At 56.4% G+C, this 23,647-nt stretch overlaps 1 protein-coding gene across 6 annotated transcripts in view, besides 5 other annotated features; it reads right to left on the bottom strand.

Moving 5' to 3' along the window:
- Positions 1,388-1,532: an enhancer, noted in NCBI's record as "145 bp enhancer 174 fragment used in the MPRA reporter construct; PK_construct_1719". NCBI's record gives its function as "activates an SV40 promoter by MPRA in K562 cells {active_cell/tissue: K562}" and the evidence as "EXISTENCE:reporter gene assay evidence [ECO:0000049][PMID:23512712]".
- Positions 1,454-1,467: a transcriptional cis regulatory region, noted in NCBI's record as "HNF4 motif; enhancer activity is reduced when this motif is scrambled, but it is unclear which activator is functional in K562 cells in the absence of HNF4 expression". NCBI's record gives its function as "necessary for full MPRA enhancer 174 activity {active_cell/tissue: K562}" and the evidence as "EXISTENCE:site-directed mutagenesis evidence [ECO:0005528][PMID:23512712]".
- Positions 1,483-2,073: an enhancer, noted in NCBI's record as "H3K27ac-H3K4me1 hESC enhancer chr19:980065-980655 (GRCh37/hg19 assembly coordinates)". NCBI's record gives its function as "activates a minimal SCP1, AML or CMV promoter by ChIP-STARR-seq in primed H9 embryonic stem cells {active_cell/tissue: H9 hESC(primed)}" and the evidence as "EXISTENCE:reporter gene assay evidence [ECO:0000049][PMID:30033119]".
- Positions 6,199-23,647, bottom strand: part of ARID3A (AT-rich interaction domain 3A) — a 50,208-nt gene continuing 32,759 nt past the window's right edge. For 4 of the 6 annotated variants that reach the window (XM_017026445.2, XM_005259514.5, NM_005224.3 and 1 more), the window contains exons 4-9: positions 21,974-22,046; positions 17,707-17,890; positions 17,058-17,305; positions 15,270-15,566; positions 13,635-13,733; positions 6,199-10,260 (exon numbers count right to left, since the gene is read on the bottom strand). In XM_017026445.2, the coding sequence (XP_016881934.1) occupies positions 10,073-10,260; positions 13,635-13,733; positions 15,270-15,566; positions 17,058-17,305; positions 17,707-17,890; positions 21,974-22,046 (1,089 nt within the window). In that variant the 3' untranslated portion in view covers positions 6,199-10,072. Of the gene's footprint in view, positions 10,261-13,634; positions 13,734-15,269; positions 15,567-17,057; positions 17,306-17,706; positions 17,891-21,973; positions 22,047-22,701; positions 22,988-23,647 lie in introns of those variants that run through there. The other 2 variants (XM_047438381.1, XM_047438380.1) reach the window with 2 other exon arrangements.
- Positions 16,940-17,117: a silencer, noted in NCBI's record as "fragment chr19:965021-965198 (GRCh37/hg19 assembly coordinates)". NCBI's record gives its function as "represses an EF-1alpha promoter that drives an FKBP-Casp9 reporter gene in an ReSE screen in K562 erythroleukemia cells {active_cell/tissue: K562}" and the evidence as "EXISTENCE:reporter gene assay evidence [ECO:0000049][PMID:32094911]".
- Positions 18,811-19,329: an enhancer, noted in NCBI's record as "H3K4me1 hESC enhancer chr19:962809-963327 (GRCh37/hg19 assembly coordinates)". NCBI's record gives its function as "activates a minimal SCP1, AML or CMV promoter by ChIP-STARR-seq in primed H9 embryonic stem cells {active_cell/tissue: H9 hESC(primed)}" and the evidence as "EXISTENCE:reporter gene assay evidence [ECO:0000049][PMID:30033119]".

Genomic DNA, 23,647 nt, shown 5'->3' with positions numbered 1-23,647 from the left:
TGGGCACAGTGGTGCATGCCTGTAATCCCAGCTACTCGGGAGGCTGAGGCAGGAGAATCGTGCAATCATGGCTCACTGTAGTCTCCAATTCCTGGGCTCAAGCCATCCTCCCACCTCAGCTTCCCGAGTAGCTGGAACCATAGGAACCACACTCAACTAATTTTGTGCTTTTTTTTTTTCTTTTTTTGCAGCGACAGGGTCTTGCTTTATTGCCCAGCTGGTCTTAAACTCCCGGGCTCAAATGATGCTCCCACCTTGGCCTCCCGAAGGGTTGGGATTACAGACATGAGCCACTGTGCCTGGCCTTGTTTTAATTTTTACTTTATTTATTTTTGTTTTTTGTAGACAAGCAGGAGAGGTGGATCTCACTCTGTTGCCCAGGCTGGAGTGCAGTGGCGTGATCTCAGCTCACTTCGACCTCCGCCTCCTGGCTTCAAGTGGTTTTCCTGCCTCAGCCTCCTGAATAGCTGGCATTGCAGGTGTTCACCACCACGCCCGGCTAATTTTTGTAGTTTTAGTAGAGACGGGGTTTCACCATGTTGGCCAGGCTGGTCTCGAACACCTGACCTCAGGTGATCCACCTGCCTCAGCCTCCCAAAGTGCTGGGATTACAGGCGTGAGGCACCGCACCTGGCCTTTTTTTTCATTTTTCTTTTTCTTTTTTTCTTTTGAAATTGAGTCTTGCTCTTGTTGCCCAGGCTGGAGTGCAATGGCACAATCAGCTCACTGCAACCTCCGCCTTCTGGTTTCCAGCGATTCTCCTGCCTCACCCTCCGGAGTAGCTGGGACTACAGGCATGTGCCACCATGCCCGGCTAATTTATTTTGTATTTTTAGTAGAGACGGGGTTTCACCATGTTGGCCAGGCTGGTCTCAAACTCCTGACCTCGTGATTTGCCCGCCTCAGCCTCCCAAAGTGCTGGGATTACAGGCGTGAGCCACTGCGCCTGGTTCATTTTTAGTTTTTCTTAACAGAGTCTGGCCCTGTCGCCCAGGCTGGAGTGCAGTGGTACCGTCATAGCTCACTGCAGCCTCAACCTCCAGGGCTCAAGCGATCCTCCCACCTTAGCCTCCCGGGACCACAGGTGCACACCACCACACCTGACTAGCGTTTTAATTTTTCATAGATAGGGGCTCTCGCCGTGTTGCCCAGGCTGGTCTTGAACTCCTGGGTTGAAACCATCCTCCTTCCTCGACCTCCCAGGGTGCTGGGATTACAGGCATGAGCCACCGCCTGGCCCAGCCTGGAAGTTTTTAAATTCCCGGGTTCCAGGACACCCAGCAGACCGGGCAGGTGTGGGCTGCTGCCACAGGCAGGAGAGGGCAGGGGCAGCAGGAAGTCGATGGACTACAGTCTCCACCTTCTCACAGGCCTCCTGCTGCGGCCCAGCCCGAGCCAGGCCTTCCTCCCCTCCTCCCCTCCCTGGGGACGTGGCCAGGCCAGGCTGCAGTGTGAGGTCAGAGGTCACCCCGCCCCCAGCCTGGTTCCTGGAATGAGGACAGACTAATCGTGTTGGAGCAGGGGACAGAAGCCACACTTTGGGGGCATCTCCAGACCACCCAGCGGCCGGATCTCGTTGGTGCCAGCTGGAGGTTGTGAAGGGGGGGTAACCAGGAAGGGGAAACTGAGGCACAGAGGCAGGAACGTTCCCCTCGGGGTGTAAGGCCCTCATTCTCCATCCCCTGCACATTTATGGAGCACCGCCAGTTTGCAGGCACTGATGAACCCAGCCAGACCCCAGTCGGCTTGGCTGCCCCGGTCCTGGCCCCACAGACCCAGCAGCTGCGGCCGTCCCGCGGCAGCCCCATCATTACCTATGCCAGTGGGGAGAGCAGCAGCCGGCTCTGGTAGCCCTCTGCTTTTGGAAGCGTCTCAGCCGCCGCCTCTCCAGTCTGGACTCTTGGCTGGCTCCGAAAATCGGCTATCAGAGGAGGGTTTGAGCTTCACCTCCGGGAGCCTCCCGCCCTCCTAGCAAGCACCTAGCAGGCGGCCCAGGGAGGTGGCTGGGCTCTGAGAGGCTAGGGGGTGGCTGGGCCCTTCCTGGGCTGGGGAGGAGGTGAGGGGCTGAGTCCATCCCTGGCTGGGGAGGGAGGTGGGGGCCTGGGGAGGAGGTGGGGGGCTGAGTCCCTCCTTGGCTGGGGAGGGAGGTGGGGGCCTGGGGAGGAGGTGGGGGGCTGAGTCCCTCCTTGGCTGGGGAGGGAGGTGGGGGCCTGGGGAGGAGGTGGGGGGCTGAGTCCCTCCTTGGCTGGGGAGGGAGGTGGGGGCCTGGGGAGGAGGTGGGGGGCTGAGTCCCTCCCTGGCTGGGGAGAGGTGGGGGCCTGGGGAGGAGGTGGGGGGCTGAGTCCCTCCCTGGCTGGGGAGAGCTGGGGGCTGAGTCCCTCCCTCCCAGGCTGGGGAACTCAGAGGTGCACCCCCTCCCTGACTCCCCGCCTCTGAGGCCCTCAGCTGCGGGTGAACAAGCAGGGCCTGACGATCCAGTTTGGGGTGGGGGCTTTCCCAGGGTTCTTCCCTCCTCTCCCTGGGGCCGGCGGGCTCCTCCAGGCAGTGAGTGGGACTCCATCTCCGGGACGCAGGGTTTGGCAGACTCATTTCTGGCTGGAATGGAAAATGCCATTTTCCCTTCCGGGGCCAGGGTCTAACGTGGGTTTCAGGAACCAACCGGCTGGGACAGGTGTGGGGGTGTTGTTGGTCCCTCGCCTCCAACACAGCCCTGGGGAGGGACGTGTCCCGGCCAGCCTCGGCCAGGATGGTGCGCGGGAGGCCGGGCAGCTGAGTCTGGGCCTGTCCACCTCCAGCCACGCTGACCCTCCTCCAGTCACGTCCCCTGGGCGTGGGCAATGGGAGGGTGGACAGTGGGTTAGGCGGCCCAGGAAACCCTTTCCTGGGAAAACGTTGCAATACCACTTTCTTTGGGTTTGTGGGCTAAGAACGAGAGGCCTTTTATTTTTTAATTTTTAATTAATTAATTAGTTAATGTTTTTAGAGACGGAGTCTCGCTCTATCACCCAGGCTGGAGTGCAGTGGCGTGATCTCGACTCACTGCAAGCTCCGCCTCTGGGTTCATGCCATTCCCCTGCCTCAGCCTCCCTGAGTAGCTGGGACTACAGGCGCCCGCCACTACGCCCAGCTAATTTCTTGTATTTTTAGTAGAGACGGGGTTTCACCATATTGGCCAGGCTGGTCTCGATCTCCTGACCTCGTGATCCACCCGCCTCGGCCTCCCAAAGGGCTGGGATTACAGGCATGAGCCACCACGCCCGGCCTAATTAATGTTTTTAGAGATGGAGTCTTGCTCTGTCACCCAGGCTGGAGTGCAGTGGGTTGATCTCAGCTCACTGCAACCTCTGCCTCCCAGATTCTAGCAATTCTCCTGCCTCAGCCTCCCAAGAAGCTGGGACTACAGGTGCACACCACCACGCCCAGCTAATTTTTTTTATTTTAGTAGAGACAGGGTTTTGCCATGTTGCCCAGACCGGTCTCGAACTCCCGAGCTCAGGCAATCCACCCACCTTGGCCTCCCAAAGTGCTAGGATTACAGGCGTAAGCCACCGTGCCCGGCCTTTTATTATTATTTTTAAGAGACAGGGTCCCGGCTGGCCCTGTGTGGCCAAGGTGGGTGTTATCATTTGAGGTCAGGAGTTCGAGACCAGCCTGGCCAACATGGTGAAAACCCAACCCGTTGCTACTAAAAGCACAAAAATTAGCCAGGCGTGGTGCCGCGTGCCTGTAATCCCAGCTACCTGGGAGGTTGAGTTGGGAGAATCGCTTGAACCCAGGAGGCAGAGGTTGTAATGAGCCAAGATTGTGCCATTGCACTCCAGCCTGGTTGACACAGTGAGACCCTGATTCAAAAAAAAAAAAAAAAGGGGCCAGGCACAGTGGCTCATGCCTGTAATCCCAGCACTTTAGGAGGCCAAGGCAGGCAAATCACGAGGTCAGGATATCGAGGCCATCCTGGCCAACATGGTGGAACCCCATCTCTACTAAAAATACAAAAATTAGCCGGGTGTGGTGGCGGGCGCCTATACTCCCAGCTACTCGGGAGGCTGAGGCAGGAGAATTGCTTGAACCTGGGAGGCAGAGGTTGGAGTGAGCCGAGAATGCACCACTGCACCCCAGCCTGGGAGAAAGAGCGAGACTTCGTCTCAAAAAAAAAAAAGAGAGAGAGAGAGACAGGGTCTTGCTGTTGCCCAGGCTGGAGTACAATGGCATGATCACTGTTCACCGCAGCCACCATGCCCGGCTTTTTTTTTTTTTTTTAATTTCTGGTAGAAATGGGGTCTCCCTATGTTGCCCAGGCTGGTCTCAAACTCCTGGGCTCTATCCATCCTCCCGCTCCAGCCTCCGAGTGTTGGGATTACGGGTGTGAACCTCTGACCCCAGCTGAGTCCCTTTACTATGTTCTGGGTTTGGGGGCTGCAAACTGGCTGTCCAGGGGCCAAATCTGGCCCTTGGTCTTGTTTCCTAGGACCCGAATGGTGTTGTAAGGGAAAAGGTGAAAATGTGGCCAGCACTGGAAAAGTTCCCTCCCCCAGCCACCAGGACGCCCCTGAACCCCAGAGGCCTCAGCTCCAGGCGGCTTCACCAGTGGGCTGGTTCCTGGGCTCGCCTAGGAGGTGAAGGAGGGCAAACTTATGGGGGGCTCGGGAACAGGGTGTCCCGCTCGGCACAAGGGCCTCCATCTGGGCCGCACAGAGGGCGGAGGAGCGGGGAGCCCCGTGCCTCCCACCCGAGGGGCCGCACCCTCCTGTCATGGGCAGGCGGGGACTGTGTGTCGGCTGCAGAGGATGGAAAGGAGTCTGTCAGAGCAAAGGGGGAGAGGGCTGTTCCCGGCGGTGGAACAGCTGTGTGAAGGCCCTGAGGCCGGACCGGGCCACTTGCCCTGGGAGCTCCGGTCGGATAACGCCAGGGGCGCCCGCATGCAGAGCCCTGTTGAGGCAGGAGGCGAGGGGTCAGGCTCGTGGGCAGGTGGCTGGGGGTGCGCACACTGGCCCTGCCACACCTGTCATCCCAAATCCCTAAAACGGGATTGGTGTCGGGCTCTCAGCGAGGCACAGAGGTGCCCAGAGCGGCCTCCAGGAGCTCCCCTCGGCCCTGTGGACCTTGCGGTTGGATCCTTCTCTGGGGTGGGGACGTCCTGGGCACTCAGGGTGCCGAGCAGCGTCCCTGGACTTCACCCACTCCATGTCAGGAGCTCCCCCCAGATGGGACAACCACAGATGTCCCCAGACATGGACCAGGGTCCCCTGGGGGCGGAATCACCCTGGTTAAGGCCCTCTGGGTTAGGGGATTCCATGGACCCCCTACAGACTCTGCATCCCATGATCCTCGGCCCTGCTGGGGTCCCAGGAGGCTGCACACACTGAAATCCATGCCCTGAGTAGGGAGGGAGAGAGGAGGCGAGTCCCAGGAGCTGGGTTCCCCCGGGTTTACACCGTCTGCCCTGTCAGGAGCTTATCCTGGTGTCTGCTGTGGGCAGGGAGAACTGTTTTTACCCCACCTTAAATAATGAAGGCAGAATTTCCCAACTCCTGCAGTGTGGATGCTGGGCGCCAGATTGTTCTCTGCGGTGGGGCCGTCCTGGGCACTCAGGGTGCCGAGCAGCATCCCAGGACTCCACCCACTCCACACCAGGAGCGCCCCCCCAGGCGTGACAACCACAAATGCCCCCAGACATGGACCAGGGTCCCCCTGGGGGCACAGACCCTGGCTGAGGACCCCTGCTTTTTTTTTTTTTTTTTTTTTTGATGGAGTTTCCCTCTTGTCGCCGAGGCTGGAGTGCAGTGGCGCAATCTCGGCTCACTGCAACCTCCGCCTCCTGGGTTCAAGTAATTCTCCTGCCTCAGCCTCCGGAGTAGCTGGGATTACAGGCACGCGCCACCACGCCCGGATAATTTTGTATTTTTAGTAGAGATGGGGTTTCACCATGTTGGTCAGGCTGGTCTCAAACTCCCGAACTCAGGTGATTCCGCCCTCCTAGACCTCCCAAAGTGCTGGGATAACAGGCGTGAGCCACCGCACCTGGCCAGACCCCCGCTTTTGTAGCTGTCTCTGCCGCCCGGAACCAGACCTAGAGCGATGCAGGGCAGAGGGGGATAGAGCACCCCCTTCCACTCACCCCTGGCTGTGCTGGGCAGGGGTGTAGGGTGGAGCTGGAGGTTGGGGAGACGCCAAAAGAAAAAAAACACCACAGGACACTTTTCTGTTAAAAGTCAGAAGTGTTTTGTCTCGTTTTAATATCTCATCAGCTTTACAGGGTTACAATCGTCTTAAATATTTCTGAAGTTTAAATACAATCTGCATAATAATGTTACTATAAAATGTAAACTTTCAGTGTTCTTTTAAATTTCAAAATCACACTTTTTTTTTTTTTTGGTCTTTTTGTCTTTTTTTTTTTTTTTCCTTTTAATACCTGAATGTTCTGCGAAAACTGAAATTGTTACAGGCCACCCTGCCGCGGCCAGGGCGAGACAGGCTGGGCCCAGCCAGAGGTAGAGAGTAGTTTTATGTTTTTTAAAAATTTTTTTAAGTTTTTTTTTTTTTCCTCCTATTACCTGAGTTTCAGGCGTGGTTCCCACGCCGTCTGACAAACTCCAGAGAAACTGAAATTTCACACGTCATGAATGAAAGGCTGAGTTTACATTTGCCAAGGAAAAAAATGCAAAAGCACAATTGGGGAAAAAAGGGACAAGGTGGGTAAAACATGATAAGAGAAAGGAAATTCAACTGTACAGATGCGTGACCCTTAACAACGACCCCAGCTGCCCCCCGTGCCCCGTGCCCACCCTCCCGCCTTTCTGGACAGCCACTTACGGGTCCCACGGAAGGTTCCAGAAGCCGCCTTTCTCCCAACATCTCAGAGCAGGGGGAGCCCCCGTTGGCCTTGACTGTGGGGCACCCACTCAGTACGCAGCCAGGCCCCACGGTCCCAAGTGAACTAGAACCCATCCAGGGTCCTCGTGGCTGAGGGGACTGCCCGACCCCCTCCCAGTCTGCATAAGGGGGGGTGCTGAGCTGCACCCCAGAAAGCCACACCGAATTTAAACCCCCACCGACAGGCGGTGGCAGGAGATGGGCACGGCTGGGGTTGAACGGGGCCACCTGAGGCAGGGAGGAGCCTCTGCAGACACGGCTTCCTGCCGAGTATCCAGGACCGGGCCCCATAGACCCTCTGCAACCGCCTCCCATTTCCACGGCCAGCATGGCCACTGCCTTCAGCGACTTCCTTCTCCTGGGCCGGGACCCAGCCTCGCGCCCACCCCCCACCCACCCCGCCTGTCCCTACAATCATCGGAGTTAACAGCAGGCTCAAGTCCTCTGAGTTAGAATCCAGGTCCACCCACCGCCGGGAGGCCGGATCGCCCACAGACACGACACGCAGGATTCCCGACACACACACGCAGCCCGAGGGAGACGACCCAGCCCTCGACCCTGCACGGCCCCTCCCCAGGCTCCGAGGTGGGCAGGTGCACGGGGGCCCCAGGGGTCCAGGGCCGCCAGATGCAGCAGGCAGCCAGGCCCCAGTGGCTGCTGCAGACCCTGGTGCACGGGAGGCGGGGGAGAGGCACCCCAGGGGCTCAGATTTTGGCATCAAAAGTCAGACCTGAGGTAGACAGAGATAGGCAGCAGGCGCTTCCCCCGGCGCGGGGCCCAGGCGTGGGACGGGGGTCCCGGGAGAGGAGCCCTGGAGGCCGGGGGACAGACACGGACAGAGTCCAGGTGGTTCTGCGAGTGGGGCCCGATTGTGTCTGGAGGCAAACAGACACCCCCTTCCCGGGGTGATTGTGCTGCTACGGTGCTGGCCCCAGGAAGGGACAAGGAAAACCTAGACGCCCACCACCCCCTCCTGGAAAGGGGGTGTGTGTCCACGGCCCTGAGATCCGAGAAGGAAGTGGGGGTCCCCTCCCCAAAGACACAGGAAAGTGACAGTCCCCTCCCACAGCCCGACGGGAAAGTGAACCTAGACTCAGGGGCTCAGAAGCCCCCCAGCCCCCTCCCCAGGGGTCTCCAAGGCAATGGGGAGGTGGTTGGGAGTGGGGGGAGCTGGGGAGTCCCCTTCCTCACCAAGCCCCCATGCCGGTGGCCTAACAGGGCTCCCAGGGCCCAATTAGAGACCCAGGCTTACCCTGGGAATAGCTGAGTTAATCCCCACTGCACCCCAAGAGAAATGAAAGCCCAGAGCTCCCGTGTAGGACACGACAGCCCCGCCCAACACCACGCGGGTCCAACGAAGTCCCCAGACCCTGCTGGGCATTTCAGACCCAGCCTTTCTGCTCCAGCAGCTCCAGCCAAAATAACCCCCCAGCTCAGCTGCGGTGACCCCACTTTCTCCAAGCCAGGGGGAGGGGTACTGACCCACAGGGTGGTGGGGGGCAGCCTCCCTTCTCGGCCTCGATTTAGTCACCGCAGAACTCGGGGAGCTCGCAGCCCCAGCACAAAAGGGGTTGGGAGAAGAGGAAGGGACAGAGCGAGGAGAATGTTGGGGTGTGGGGGGTGTTCAGGATGCCGGGGCCCTGAAATCCTCACCCTGAGTGAGGTCCGGCTTCACCCCCACTCCCCAGTATTGATAGTCCTCAAAAGCAGCCCTTTCGGGCAAGAGAAGAATCCCAATGAGACGCCACATTCATCCCTGAGACAGGAGCCTGGGGGCTTCGACAAGAACCACCCCCGCCCCCCAGGCCCTTTTTCCAGCACTTGCTACTTTTTAGATAAGATTTCCAGACCGGGCCAGCGTGGCGGCTCATGCCTGTAATCCCAGCACTTTGGGAGGCCAAGGCGGGCAGATCACCTGAGGTCAGGAGTTCGAGATCAGCCTGACCAACATGGCAAAACCCCCATCTCTACTAAAAATACAAAAATTAACTGGGCGTGGTGGCGGGCGCCTGTAATCCCAGCTACTCCGGAGGCTGAGGCAGGAGAATCGCTTGCACCTGGGAGGTGCAGGTTGCAGTGAGCCAAGATCGCACCATTGCACTCACTCCAGCCTGGGCGACAAGAGCAAAACTCCGTCTCAAAAAAAAAAAAAAAAAAAAATTTCCAGGCCCCTGACTCGAGAGCCCAGCAGACAAGCACGGCACAAGCAAAAGCATCGTGGAATATCACAGTCAGCAATTCACTGTCAGGGGCCCCTGGCCGGTGGGACCCCAGCATGCACCCTCTGCCCCAGCCCGGCCCATAGCACCTGAGTTCATTGGCTCCGCGGCTCTAGCCCCAGGGATCCGATGTGCTGGGCTCACAGCTGCCCAACGCACCCCCAGAAATGGACAAAGGGACCCAAATTGGTCATGGGAAAAATAAAAAGGTGAGTTTTTTTTTTTTTTTTTTTTTTTTTTTTTTGCTTTTTTTTCTTGCTTTTTCAAGACCAGTTTCCCTGAAGGAACACAAATATATAGCTATATAGATATATAGATATCCTTTTCCTAAGGTTTGATCCCCCCAAGAATAAAATAGAATATTTACACAACAAAACCCCCGAAACCTCTTAAAAACCCTACAGAGAAAAAAAAATTTCCCAAAGCAACAAGAAAAAAACAAAAATTCAGTGATCTTGGTTCAGGGGTTTCACTGGACACGAGAAGCTGGGAGTGGTGAGTGTGTGGTGAATAGAAAATAAAAGAGAACTAAAGCAGACAAAAATGAAAACACACAGTGCAGGGATGTATGAGGTAAACAGGATCGGCCCACACTGCTGTGGGGCCAAACCAGACACCAGAGCCTTCGGTCCATCAGGGCTGCCTGAACGCCCTGGGAAACGTCTGCCTCTTTCTGTTTTTCTGATGGATTTCTTTGCTGTTCTCACAATTCATCTCTCTGAATGTCCAAAACCTGAGAAATTCAAGTGTTCCTTGGTTTTCCCCTGTTTTATTAAATTCTCTTTATATATATACGTGTATATATATATATATATATATATATCTTTTTTCTTTTCTTTTTGGCGTCAGCTGTGGCTCCTTTCTGGATATCTTCCCTCCCCACCCGTATCTTCCGCCATCCTGGCCCCTGTGTGGCCCACCTGGACCCCCTGCCCAGGCCGGCGGGCTCCAGGGTGGGTGGCGGGTGGGGAGTGATGCGGTTAAGGCAACGAGTTATTTGAGGTAGATGTGGAGGGTGTGGACAGCCCCGCTGGCCCAGCCTGGCCGCCGCTGGTTCCGGTGTTTCCTCCCCGGCCGCCTGCGTTGCTGCTGCTGCCGCCGCCGCCGCCGCCTCCTTTGTTGGGAGCAGAGGTTGGCGTGGGGGCCGGCGGCTGAGCAAACAGAACTCCTAAGGCAAGAACAGAAGACATATGCCATGCAGAGTTTAAGAAGATGCGAGGCGGGCCACAAGGGAGACCCAATGGGGTGCTCCGGGGAATAAACTTCTCTCTCACTCTGTCCCCCAGGCTAGAGTGCAGTGGTGGCATCAGAGCTCACTGCAGCCTCAACCTCATGGGCTCAAGTGATCCTCCCAGCTCAGCCTCCCGAGTAGCTGAGACCACAGGGGCGTGCCACCATGTCTGGCTAATTTTTTATTTTTTTGTTTTTTTTTGAGATGGTGTCTCGCTCTGTCGCGCAGGCTGGAGTGCAGTGGTGCGATATTGGCTCACTGCAACCTCCACCTCCTGGGTTCAAGCAGTTTTCCTGTCTCACCCTCCTGAGTAGCTGGGACTAACTACAGGCGCCTGCCACTACACCAGCCAATTTTTTATTTTTAGTACAGACGGAGTTTCACCATGTTGGCCAGGCTGGTCTCCAACTCCTGACCTCAGGTGATCCACCCACCTTGGCCTCCCAGAGTGCTGGGATGACAGGCATGAGCCACTGTGGCTGGCAATATTTTAGCAATTTTTTATTTTTTGTAGAGATGGGCTCTCAATATGTTGCCCAGGCTGGTCTCAAGTTCCTGGCCTAAAACAATCCTCCTGCCTCTGACTCCCAAAGTGCTGGGATTACAGACGTGAGCCCAGCTTAAACTTCCCCACTGTGTCTGCTCACTCCTTCATCACACACATGTGCATATATATGGATGCACGTGAGCACACACGTGTGTTTAATCCACACATGCACATCAGCGTGCACACAGCTCTTGCAGGGAGAACCCTGATGCCCATGGTTCGTTGATGTGGGGTTGCGAGACCCCTAGCACACAGTTGGCCTTCTCCCCTGTAAGATTCAATATGAATGTACACGTTTTACATCTGATTTCCGGAGGGCACGGACCCCTCAAAAATCCATTTGTGGACCTGTGAGGACACCACTGACCTTCAGCTCAGCCTCTGACCACAGCCGGGCGGGGGCCTGCAACAAGGCTGCTCTGTGTCGACAGCGCCACCTGGTGGCCACTATGAACCATCGGCCTGACTCCACTTTAAGAAAAACTATTCATTTACCGCCGGGTGTGGTGGCTAATGCCTGTAATCCCAGCACTTTGGGAGGCCAAGACCAGCAGATCACGAAGTCAGGAGTTCGAGACCAGCCTGACCAACATGGTGAAACCCCGTATCATCTAAAAATACAAAAATTAGCCGGGCCTGGTGGCATGCACCTGTAATCCCAGCTACTCAGGAGGCGGAGGTTGCAGGAGCTGAGATCATGCCATTGCACTCCAGCCTGGGCAACAGAGTGAGACTCTGTCTCAAAAAAAAAAAAAAAAAAAAAAAAAAAGAAAAACTATTCATTTACTTATGTTCTTTTGTAGAGATGGGGTCTTCTGTGTTGCCCAGGCTGGCCTCAAGCAAACCTCTCTCCTTAGCCTCCCAAAGTGTTGGGATTACAGGCGTGGGCCACTGCCCCTGGCACTGACTCCACTTTTTTAATTAAATTTTTTAATTCTTTTTTTTTTCTTCCTCTGAGACGAAGTCTTGCTCCATTGCACAGGCTGGAGTGCGGTGGCGCGATCTCGGCTCACTGCAACCTTCGCCTCCCGGGTTCAAGCAATTCTCCTGCCTCAGCCTCCTAAGCAGCTGGGATTATAGGCACACACCAGCACACCTCGCTAATTCTTGTATTTTTAGGGAAGATGGGGTTTCACCATGTTGATCAGGCTGGTCTTGAACTCCTGACCTTGTGACCCACCCACATCAGCCTCCCAAACTGCTGGGATTACAGGTGTGACCTACTGTGCCCGGCAACTTTTTAATTCATTTTATTTAAAAAAATATGTATATATAGGGTGGGCGCGGTGGTTCATGCCTGTAATCCCAGCACTTTGGGAGGCCGAGGCAGGCGGATCACCTGAGGTCAAGAGTCCAAGACCAGCCTGGCCAACATGGTGAAACCTCATCTCTACTAAAAATACAAAAAAAAATTAGCTGGGTGTGGTGACACACGCCTGTAGTCCCAGCTACTTGGGGAGGCTGAGGCAGGAGAATCGCTCGAACCCAGGAGGCACAGGTTGCAGTGAGTCAAGATCGTGCCACTGCACTCCAGCCTGGGTGACAGAGGGAAGACTCCCTCTCAAAAGAAAAAAAAAACAACTATATATATATATATCTATGTAGATATAGATATAAAAGTATATATGTATTTATAGATACATATAAATCTATATCTAATCTATATATATCTATGTATAGCTACAGCTATATCTATCGATATATCTATATATAGATATATAGAGAGAGAGAAGGACGGGATCTCACTCTTTCACCCAGGCTGGAGTGCAATGGTGTGATCTTGACTCACTGCAACCTCCACCTCCTGGGCTCAAGTGATCCTCCCTACTCAGCCTCCCGAGTAGCTGGGACTATGGGCGCCTGCCACCACGCCCTGCTGATTTTTATATTTTTAGGAGAGATGGGGTCTCACTATGTTGCCCAGACTGGTCTTGAACTCCTGGGCTCAAGTGATCCTCCCGTGTTAACCTCCCGAAGTGCTGGAACTATAGCCATGAGCCACTGCACCCAGCCTAGATTCAATTTTTTGGATACCTCATTTACCCTGATGTGATTATTAGGCATTGGATGCCAGTATAAAACATCTCATAAAACCCATAAATATATATACCTACTATGTACCCACAAAAATTACAAATTACAAATTAAAAAAAATAAAAAATACATTCATTAAATTTTTTTTCAAGAGACAGGGTCTCGGTCTGTGGCCCAGGCTGGAGTGCAGTGGCGTCATCACAGCTTGCTGCAGCCTGAAAGTCTCTAACCCCTGGGCTTATACATTCTTTGCTCCTCAGCCTCCGAAAATGCTGGGATTGGCTGGGTGCGGTGGCTCACGCCTGTAATCCCAGCACTTTGGGACGCCGAGGCAGGAAGATTGCGTGAGCCCAGAGTTCAAGACCGGTCTGAGCAACAAAGCAATTTAAAATTTAAAGAGCAACAAAAAATTTAAAAATTAACCAGGTGTGCTGGTGCATGTCTGTGCAAGACTCCGTCTCATTAAAACAAAAAACTAGGAATGTGAACCATCCAACGTCACACTGAATATGTATCTGTGGACGACCCCCTCTGGGCTGAGCGTGGTACCGGGTGAACGATGGTATCCTCTCCATCAGTCTTGACTGTTTGTCCTGCAAAGCCCCTGGCCGTGCCCTGCTCGCCCGCACACCTAGGTTCAAGCAGGTGGGACCAGGCGCAACTCAGGGTCCTGAGTTCACGGCGGCGGGAGAGGCGAGGTCCAGGCAGGGCGTGGCCTCAGGGGTCCTACCTGTGTACATGATGCCGTTGATCTCCACCGACATGCTGATGCTGTTGCTGCCGTTGGTGCCCGTCAGGTTCACAGCAGAGTCCTGGCGGCTTTCGGAGGCTGTGGGAAGAAGAACAAATTAGTTTCTTTTTTTCTTTTTTTTTTTGAGACAGAGTCTTGCTCTGTTGCCCAGGCTGGAGTGCAGTGGCGCGATCTCAGCTCACTGCAAGCTCTGCCTCCTGGGTTCACGCCATTCTCCTGCCTCAGCCTCCCAGTAGCTGGGACTACAGGCGCCCGCCACCACGCCTGGCTAATTTTTTGTATTTTTAGTAGAGATGGGGTTTCACCATGTTGGCCAGGATGGTCTCGATCTCTTGACCTCGTGATCCACCCGCCTCGGCCTCCCAAAGTGCTGGGATTATAGGCATGAGCCACTGTGCCCAGCCGAACAAATGAGTTTCTTTCTTTTTTTTTTTTTTTGAGACGGAGTCTCACTCTGTCACCCAGGCTGGAGTGCAGTGGTGCGATCTCGGCTCACTGCAACCTCCACCTCCAGGGTTCAAGCAATTCTCCTGCCTCAGCCTCCTGAGTAGCTGGGACTATGGGTACACACCAGCACACCCGGCTAATTTTTGTATTTTTAGTAGAGACGGGGTTTCACCATGTTGGCCAGGCTGGTCTTGAAGTCCTGGCCTCAGGTGATCTGCCCGCCTCGGCCTCCCAAAGTGCTGGGATTACAGGCGTGGGCCACCGCGCCCGACCAAAACTGCCATTTCTGATCATAAAGACACCTGTGACATGTTCTGTTTTCTGTCTGTCTCGCCAACTAGATTTTAGCTTTACAAGGTGTAGACGGTGTCTGTCACATTCATGCTGTCACCAGTGCACACAGTAGGTGCTCAATATTTATTTGTTGAATAAGTGTATTTGTCCATACTCCACTTTGTTTTTTTTTACCTTGTTTTTGAGACCAGGTCTTGCTCTGTCACCCAGGCTGGAATGCAGTGGTGCAATCATGGCTCACTGCAGCCTCGACTTCCTGGGCTCAAGTGATCCTCCCATCTCAGCCTCCCGAGTAGCTGGGGCTACAGGAGCGTGTCACCACGCCCAGCTAACTTTTGTAGAGATGGCATCTCACTGTGTTGCTCAGGCTGATCTCAAATTCCTGGGCTCAAGCAATCCTCCCATTTCAGCCTCCCAAAGTGCTGGGATTATAGGCATGAGCCACGGTGCCCAGCCAGTTTACTTTATTATTTTTTATTTTTTGAGATGGAGTTTTGCTATTGTTGCCCAGGCTGGAGTGCAGTGGCGTTATCTCGGGTCACTGCAACCTCCATCTCCCAGTTCATGTGATTCTCCTGCCTCAGCCTCCCAAGTAGCTGGGACTACAGGGGTGCGCTGCCACGCCCGGCTAATTTGTTGTATTTTTAGTAGAGATGGAGTTTCACCATGTTGCCCAGGCTGATCTCGAACTCCTGACCTCAAGTGATCCACCCACCTCGGTCTCCCAAAGTGCTGGGATTACAGATGTCAGCCACTGCACCCGGCTTTTTTTTTCTTATTGATTTGTTGGCACTCTTTACATATGTAGGCTCCAAGGCCCTCACTGTGTGACACACGCAGGAAGCACAGCGGGTCTGGGCACGAGGGCAGTACCTTGGCTGTTGATCCGAATGCTCATGGGCAGCTGGGCCGCCATGGCCAGGAAGTTCTGCTGGAGTGCACGTTGCATCAGCCGTTGCTGCTCATCGGCCACCAGGGCCATCTTCTTCTCCGGAGGCTCTGCAGACTCCAGCTTCTCCCGCAGCTGTTCCAGGGCAGCTGCCTGTGCGGCCACAGCTGCTTGGGCGGCTGCTGCTTGCACAGCTGCTGCCTGGGCTGCCACCACAGGGTGGCCCGCCAGGGACACAGGCAGGCGGCCAGGGACTGTGATGGGGATGGCTGAGTCCTCCTCTAGGTAGGAAAAAAGGGGAATTGGTGGCCAGGAGGGGCTGGGCCCTGCCTTCCACTCAAGGCAGGAACATGCACCTTCTTTTTTCTTTTCTTTTCTTTTTTTTTTTTTTTTTGAGACGGAGTTTCACTCTTGTTGCCCAGGCTGGAGTGCAATGGTGCGATCTCAGCTCACCGCAACCTCTGCCTCCCGGGTTCAAGTGATTCTCCTGCCTTAGCCTCCCTAGTAGCTGGGAAACAGGCACCCGCCACCACGCCTGGCTAATTTTGTATTTTTAGTAGAGACGGGGTTTCTTCATGTTGGCCAGGCTGGTCTTGAACTCCTGACCTCAGGTGATCCGCCCGCCTCGGCCTCCCAAAGTGCTGGGATTACAGGCGTGAGCCACCGCGCCCAGCCTTTTTTTTTTTTGCTTTGAGACAGAGTCTCGCTCTGTTGCTTAGGCTGGAGGGCAGTGGCGCGATCCCAGCTCACTGCAACCTCTGCCTCTCAGGCTCAGGTGATTCTTCTGCCTCAGTCTCCTGAGTAGCTGGGATTACAGGCGCCCACCACCACACTAAGCTAATTTTTTTTTTTTTTTTTTTTGACACGGAGTCTCACTCTGTCGCTGAGGCTGGAATGCAGTGACGTGATCTTGGCTCACCGCAACCTCTGCCACCTGGGTTCAAGCGATTCTCCTGCCTCAGCCTCCCAAGTAGCTGGGACTACAGGTGTGTGCCACCACACCCGGCTAATTTTTGTATTTTTAGTAGAGACAGGGTTTCACCATATTGATTAGGCTGGTCTCAAACTTCTGACCTCAAGCGATCCGCCTGCCTCAGCCTCCCAAAGTGCTGGGACTACAGGCGTGAGCCACTGTGCCTGGCCTAAAAAAATTTTTTTTAGACTGGGTCTCACTACTGTTGCTCAGGCTGTAGTGCAGTGGTGTAATCTCAGTTCACCACAGCCTCGACCTCCTGGGCTCAACCCATCTGACCACCTCAGCTTCCTGGGTAGCTGGGACCACAGGTGCACGTTGCCACGCCCAGCTAATTTTTTTTTTTTTTTTTGAGATGGGGTCTCACTATGTTGCCCAGATGAGAAATGGTAACTCAGACAGGCAAACTGAGGTGACACTGCTGTGTGTGCTGTTGGTACCTCTGTGTTATGGAGGATTCAGAGGCTCAGTGGGAGGGAAAACTGATCAACTGATGATGCCTGCCTCAGTGTAGACTGGAAAAACAGTGATCAATTAGTAATGTCTGCCTTGGCCACAGGACTGGAAACACAGATTGATTAGCAATGTCTGCCTGCCACCTGTGTGGAATTAGAAAATGGTGATGGATTGGTAATGTCTGCCATAGGCAGAGGACTGGTAGATTGGAAGCCCTTTTCCATGCCAACTATAGGGTTTTTCATCCTGGTTACCCAGAGAGGGGAAGAGGTATCCCCCAAGGTCAGACAGCCAGGCTGAAGCTCAGTTGGGAACACGCCCCAGGCCCCATACAGGCCCTTACCTTTCTTGATCTTAGGGGCGGGGGTGATGGAGCTGCCATTGGTGCTTGCGGCCAGGCCCAGGGAGGACACGGGTAGCTTGGGTGAGGAGAGCATGCCGTGTGCCCCGCCTGGCGAGTAGGCAAAGAGGGAGCCACCAAAGCTCTGGCGCCGGCCCTCCCGTCGGTTGCTGTCTATGGCTGCCTGGAGCTCATTGGGGTTACTGAGGCCCCGCTTCTCACACTCGTAGGGGTACAGGTACTTCATGTATCTGTGGGTGGGACGAGGGAAGAGGATGGCACCCGGGTCACCCCTACGGCTCTCTTTGGCCTTCAGTACAAAGTAAACCCCACTGTGGCACCACCATCCCTGGTTCTTCCCTTGGACTTGCTCAGCAGCCCCCAGAGCTGCTGGGCCTTTGCCCATTCCCTCCATCTCAATGCTGTTCCTCGCAATGGCCCCTGATTGCACAACCCCAGAGACTGTGTGGTCCTCGCACCCCTACTTGACGCTCTCGGGCCCTGGACGCACGGTGTGGCCCTGTGCCCTTTGCGGCTGCCCACTGCCCCCTCCTCTGCAGCTGCCCACCACCCCCTCCCTCTTCTGCAGGCCCCTTGCACTGGCTGCTCAGAGTGCCCTGGCCCGACCTCGGCACAACCGTCCGCCACTCACTGGGTCCGCAGGGTGAAGGCTGCACTGGTGATGGACGTGGGCAGGTTGAGGCCCTTGGTGATCTCACGCCACAGCTTCTTGTTGATGACCTCCACGAGGCCGCCCTTCTCCGTCACCAGCACGTACAGCATGAACAGGTCAAGGACCTGTTTGGCCATGATGGGGATGCGGTTCACAGGTGTCCCTGGGGGAAGGGGCGAGAGGGAGGTTGGGGGCCACCTGGGCACTGCAGGGAGCCGAGTGTCCTGGCCTCCGCCCTCTCCATGCCAGGAGCACTCCCCCGCCCAGGCTGTGACAACCACAGATGTCTCCAGACATTGCCCAGGGCCCTCTGTGGGTGCAGGATCATCCAGGCTGGGAACCTCTGCTCGAGAGGGTGCAGAGGGGGCAGCTCTGCCTCGGTTTATCCACCAGTAACCTGGGCTTAGGGACAGCGCAGCCCTCGGGAGGAGGGTTACTGAGAGGAGGGACGTGCGGGAGACGCCCGGATCTTTGTTATTCCTTCTCCACGCCACACACCACGGCAGCTGCCAAAACAACTCTGCCTATGTTCCCAGAGGCCTGTTCCCTCCACACTGACAGGGGCTCTGCAGCCTCAGGCAGGCAAGGGGTAAAGCCTGGCTTACCCAATTTCAAGTCTGGAGAATGGAGGGCTGTGGACTGGCCTAGGGAGGGGAAGGGGATGGGCTAGCCCCGACATGGGGGGTTGGGCTAGCCCAGGAGGAGAGGGTTGTGGGCTACGCTATGCCAGGGAGGGAAAGGGGGAGGATTAGCCTAGGCAGGGGAAGGGCGGTAGGTGGGCTGGCCCAGGAAGAAGAGGCGGCTGGGCTGACTCAGGTTCCTGCCCCTCAACTCCTGGAGCCGGCTGCAGACGTGGCCCCTCCCCGCCCTTCCAGCCCTACCTGCCCCCTCCAGGGCTCTCCCAGGCTGCCCCTGCACCAGGAGCCTCTGGCTTCAGATGTCAGCTCCACCTCTGCCCAGCCCCTCCCTGGCCTGACAGTAGGCAAGACCCACTTAAACCTATCGTTCTGTCCGTGAAATTCTGCACTTAGGAGATCAATTGTGTACAGTCTGTGGCCCCCACCCCATGTTCTGCCTACGTGGGGTCCCAGCACTCAGTGGCATACAGTAGGCGCTCAGTGAAGACCAGTGAGGGCAGGTGGCCCAGGCCATAGCTGCTGCCCACTCACCATGGGGTGGGAGGGGACGCCCATCGCCCTGTTAGGGATGGGGACGTGGACATCGAGGTTCTGGGATGTGACTGGCTGGAGAGCGGGTGCAGCCCTGAGTGAGCAGCCGGCCCTCTGCCTGGTCGAGGCCTGCTACCCCCGGAACCCCCGGTGTCTGACCTTCCAGAAACACCTCCCACCACCCTCCGCCACTTCCAGGCCCTTCCCAGGTTGCAAAACCCCCAGTGAATGGAGGAGATCCCAGGTTGGAGGAAGACGGGCCTCAGACCCGATCCCACCTGAAACCCACTTTACAGCCTGGGCGAGAGGAGCCGCGCCGGGTTTCAGCTGCAGGATCGGCCCGGAAACCTGCCCAGAGCCTCCGCCCGGCCCCACTCGGGACACCAGTTTAGGCCTCAGAGTTTGCAAAGTAAAAGTAACGGCATCAGGCCGGGCGCGGTGGCTCAAGCCTGTCATTCCAGCACTTTGGGAGGCTGAGGCGGGCGGATCACCCAAGGTCAGGAGTTCGAGACCAGCCTGGCCAATAGGGAGAAACCCTGTCTCTACTAAAAATACAAAAATTAGCCGGGCGTGGTGGCGGGCGCCTGTAATCCCAGCTACTCAGGAGGCTGAGGCAGGGGAATCACTTGAACCTGGGAGGTGGAGGTTGCAGAGAGCCGAGACCCCGCCATTGCACTCCAGCCTCAGCAACAAAAGCAAAACTCTGTCTCAAAAAAAAAAAAAAAAAAGGATCAGCAGCAGAGGGTTGGTTCCCAGGGCCACGCCCTGGCTCTGCAGTGGGCGGGAGGAGGATGTTTACAGAAGGAGCTGGGAGCATCACCAGGGCCCGTCGTGGGGCCCAGATAAGGAAGGGTGGGGAGGTTGTCAGGGAACAGCAGGTCAGGTGGTCCAGCTGCTGCTGCTGAGGGGAGAGGGTGTGGTCAGGACCCCTCCCTCACTTCTAGCCCCCAGAGAATTCTGAGAAATTTAGTTAGAGTTTTTTACTTTGTGACACAGGGGAAAAAAAAAATTATTTCTCTCTGTCTGGAGTGAAGGAGAGGAAGATTGTGAAGTCTAGGGTGATGGGCAGGTTCACCTGACGGATTCTCAGCTCCAAGGGCCCCCATTACAGAGCAGGAAGCTCCTGGAGGAAGCCAAGGAAGAGGGAGCTTTGAGGCTGGGTTTTGAGGGACGCATAGGAGCTCGCTGTCTCCTGTCCTGTAGGAATTCCCAGCTTGGAGAGGGAGGTAAAGCTGGACACCAACCCTCACGGCCCCACGTGCCACGGGCCCCCATCTCACCCACACTCATGAGCAGCCTACCATGCCTGCTTTTTGTTTGTTTGAGACGGGGGCTCCCTCTGTCACCCAGGCTAGAGTGCAGTGCTGCAATCTCGGCTCACTGCAACCTCTGCCTCCTGGATTCAAGCAATTCTCCTGCCTCAGCCTCCCAAGTAGCTGGGATTACAGGCGCCTGCCACCACGCCTGGTCAATTTTTGTACTTTTAGTAGAGACGGGGTTTCACCATGTTGGCCAGGCTGGTCTTGAACTCCTGACCTCAAGTGATCCACCTGCCTCGGCCTCCCAAAGTGCTGGGATTACAGGTGTGAGCCACCATGCCCAGCCCTCACCGTGCTTTCTAAGTACCCCCAGGACACCAGGCACTGTACCAGGCACGGGTAACAGCAAAACGGGTTGGCTTTGGACCCAGGAGCTCGGAGCCCCACAGCAGAGTGGTCAGGGCTGAGCAGGTGCGAACAGGATGATAAAGGGTCATGGGGAGGATCTGTCCAGCCTCACAGGGGGCAGTGGGCCCTGGTCAAGCCTGGCCTTGGAGGATAACACAGGAGGGGCCCCCGCCCAGGTCCCGGGTCTGGATCCTCTGTTCCCAGCACGGGAGGGGTTAACTCGGAGGCCGCTGGGCAGTGTGGGCCAGGGGGCCCACAACCCTCCTCCTCCTTCCCTTCCGGGCGGCTGGCAGTGGCGGGTCTGGGGCCTGTGTTTATAGAAGCCAGGGGAGGGGTGGGCGGAGGCTGGGACACAGCGGGCCCCTGTGACGGCCCCAAGTGCAGGGACAGAGCCCTCTGCCCCACCCCTTCCGACCTCTGTGGGCCCCAAGGCCTCCTCCCCCGTCTGAACAGTGGGGATCGGAGCTAGCTCCCTGCCCTAGAGGAGTGTCCAGGGGGGTTGGGGCGGCTCCTACCTGGCAGCAGACGCTCCTAGGACCCTCTCCGGCCGACGAGGACTTGGAGGCGAGACGGAAGCCCTTGCCGCACTCTCTCTGCCCCGTGGTCACTCTAAGCTGGGGTGGGGCCTGGGAATGGCCGCTGGGACACCCCGGCTACCCTTGGTCGTCTGAGTCTGTCTTGTGTCTGGACCTCAGTTTCCCCACCTGGACACCAGCCCAGACCTGCCCTCTCTAGGCCAGGAGACTTTGGGGGCACAGAGCCTGGTATACCGTTGGTGCCCAATAAGTGTGCACAGTAAACAGCGGCCCTGCACTCAGCACATCTGGGGTACCTGCTGGCCACTGAGTTTTGGGCAGGGACTGTTTGTGGCCCGTTTTTACAGATGGGGAAACTGAGGCCCTGGTGGGAAGAGGGGAGGGGCCAGGACTCAAATGTCGCATTGGCCGCCATGAGATCATTAGACTCTAAGCCATCTCGCGGCCGGGCGGGGGGCTTCTGTCCTGCCGCACCTGCACCCACCTGGCCAGCCCGAATCTGACCCCACTCCCTAAACACAGAGGCTGGTTCCACTCCCCCATTACCCAGTAGTGGGGACCCCCACTTCACTGCACCCTGGATGCTAAGGAGATGACCTGGACTGTCTGTTCTGGGTTGGGGCCCTGAGACTGCCCTGCCCCCCACCAAGGGACCTACCCCTTAGACTCACAGGCGTGCCTCCCGCGTCAAACCTCCATGGCAGGATGTGTTTCCCCCCAAGACACCCCTGAAGTCCCTCCCGATTTAGGAGCCTTGGATGCCTCCAGCCACGGGGTGCTCACCACCGCCCCGACATACCTGGAGCCAGTAGGGCCCCTCCTACAGCCCTGTTTCTGTGACCTCCCTCCAGCGGGGTGGGGGCAGAGGGCTCACCTCGCTTCTGCATGAAGCTGAACAAGTCATCCAGGAATTCCTTCCTCTTGGGGTCCCCGTCGAGTTCGTAGAGCTGTGAGGGTGGAGAGGGGATGGGTTAGTTGGTGCCAGAGCTCAGGTGTGGGAACCATGTCCCTCCTGCACTGGAGGCCAGGTCAGGAGGACAGGAGCAGGGGTCACCACCCCTAGGACCCTCAAGCCGCTGCCAGAGCCGAAGACCCCGCTGGGCAGGTGAAGAACCACAAGGCTGCAAGACAGAAATGCCGGTGAACGAGCTTCCCAGAGGGTCTGCAAGGAGGCACCAGAAACCAGGTGGCCTGGGACAAGACAGTGTCCTCTCCCGGTCCAGGGGCCCGGGAACCCCAGATCAAGGTGCGTCCTGGCTTGTGGCCGCAGCGCTCCAGTCTCTGCCTCCGTCTCCACAAGACCGTCTCCCCGTCTCTCTCTCCTCTTCTCAGGACACCAGCCTGCTGGTTTTAGGGCCACCTCATCTCAAATCGATCCTTAACTCCCTTACAGCCACACGTTGCAGCTTAAAGCAACAGAAATCTATTCTCCCGCGGTCCCGGAGCCCAGAAGTCCAAAACCAACTTCTCTTCAGGGTGGCGGCTCACACCTGTAATCCCAGCACCTTGGGAGGCGGGTGAATCGCTTGAGCCCGGGAATTCAAGACCAGCCTGGGCAACATAGTGAGACCCCATCTCTACATTATGATAACAAAAAGTTACCCAGGTGGGGTGGCTCATGCCTACAGTCCCGGCTACTCGGGAGGCTGAGGTGGGAGGATTGCTTGAGCCTGGGCAGTGGAGGCTGAAGTGAGCCGAGACCGCACCACTGCACTCCAGCCTGGGCGACAGAACGCAACCCTGTCTCTAAAAACAAAACAAAACAAAAGATGTCTGCAGGGTTGCGTTCCCTCCGAAGTCTCCAAGGGAGGAACCTTCCTGCCTCTCACGGCTTCTGGGGGCTCCAGGTTCCTGGGCTTGTGGCCGCGTCGCTCCAGCCTCTGCCTCTGTCTTCGTGCAGGATGCGTCCTGATAAATGTCTGTTGGTGATTTCGTCAGTGTGAACATCAAACAGTGAGTCACACACACCTCACGGGTGGAGCCTCCCACACACCCAGGCACAGGCACAGCCCAGCCAGCGCTCCTGGGCTACAAATCTGTGGCTGTCCTGGGTCCCGTAGGCAGTGGCAACGTGAGCATGAGTGTCTGTGCGTCTAACACAGCTGAACACAGAAAAGGTGCACAAGAAATATGGAATTTTTTTTTTTTTGAGACGGAGTCTCGCTGTCCCCAGGCTGGAGTGCAGGGGTGCAATCTCGGCTCACCGCAACCTCCGCCTCCCGGGTTCACTCCATTCTCCTGCCTCAGCCTCCCGAGTAGCTGGGACTACAGGCGCCCGCCACCACGCCCGGATAATTTTTTGTATTTTTAGTAGAGACGGGGCTTCACCGTGTTAGCCAGGATGGTCTCGATCTCCTGACCTCGTGATCCGCCCGCCTCGGCCTCCCAAAGTGCTGGGATTACAGGCGTGAGCCACTAGAAATATGGAATTCTAATCCTGTGGGACCACCGTCCCATCTGCGGTCTGAGGTTGACCAAAGTGTCAACACGTGATTGTATGTCAGTAAGTTCCCCCGTTTCCAAATGAGGTCCTGTCACAGGTACTGGG

This window comes from Homo sapiens, chromosome 19 (genome assembly GCF_000001405.40).
Source record: "Homo sapiens chromosome 19, GRCh38.p14 Primary Assembly".
Classification (NCBI taxonomy): Eukaryota; Metazoa; Chordata; class Mammalia; order Primates; family Hominidae; genus Homo; species Homo sapiens.
Note: the sequence above shows the minus strand (reverse complement) of the source record. Positions and strands in the feature narration are given on the sequence as shown.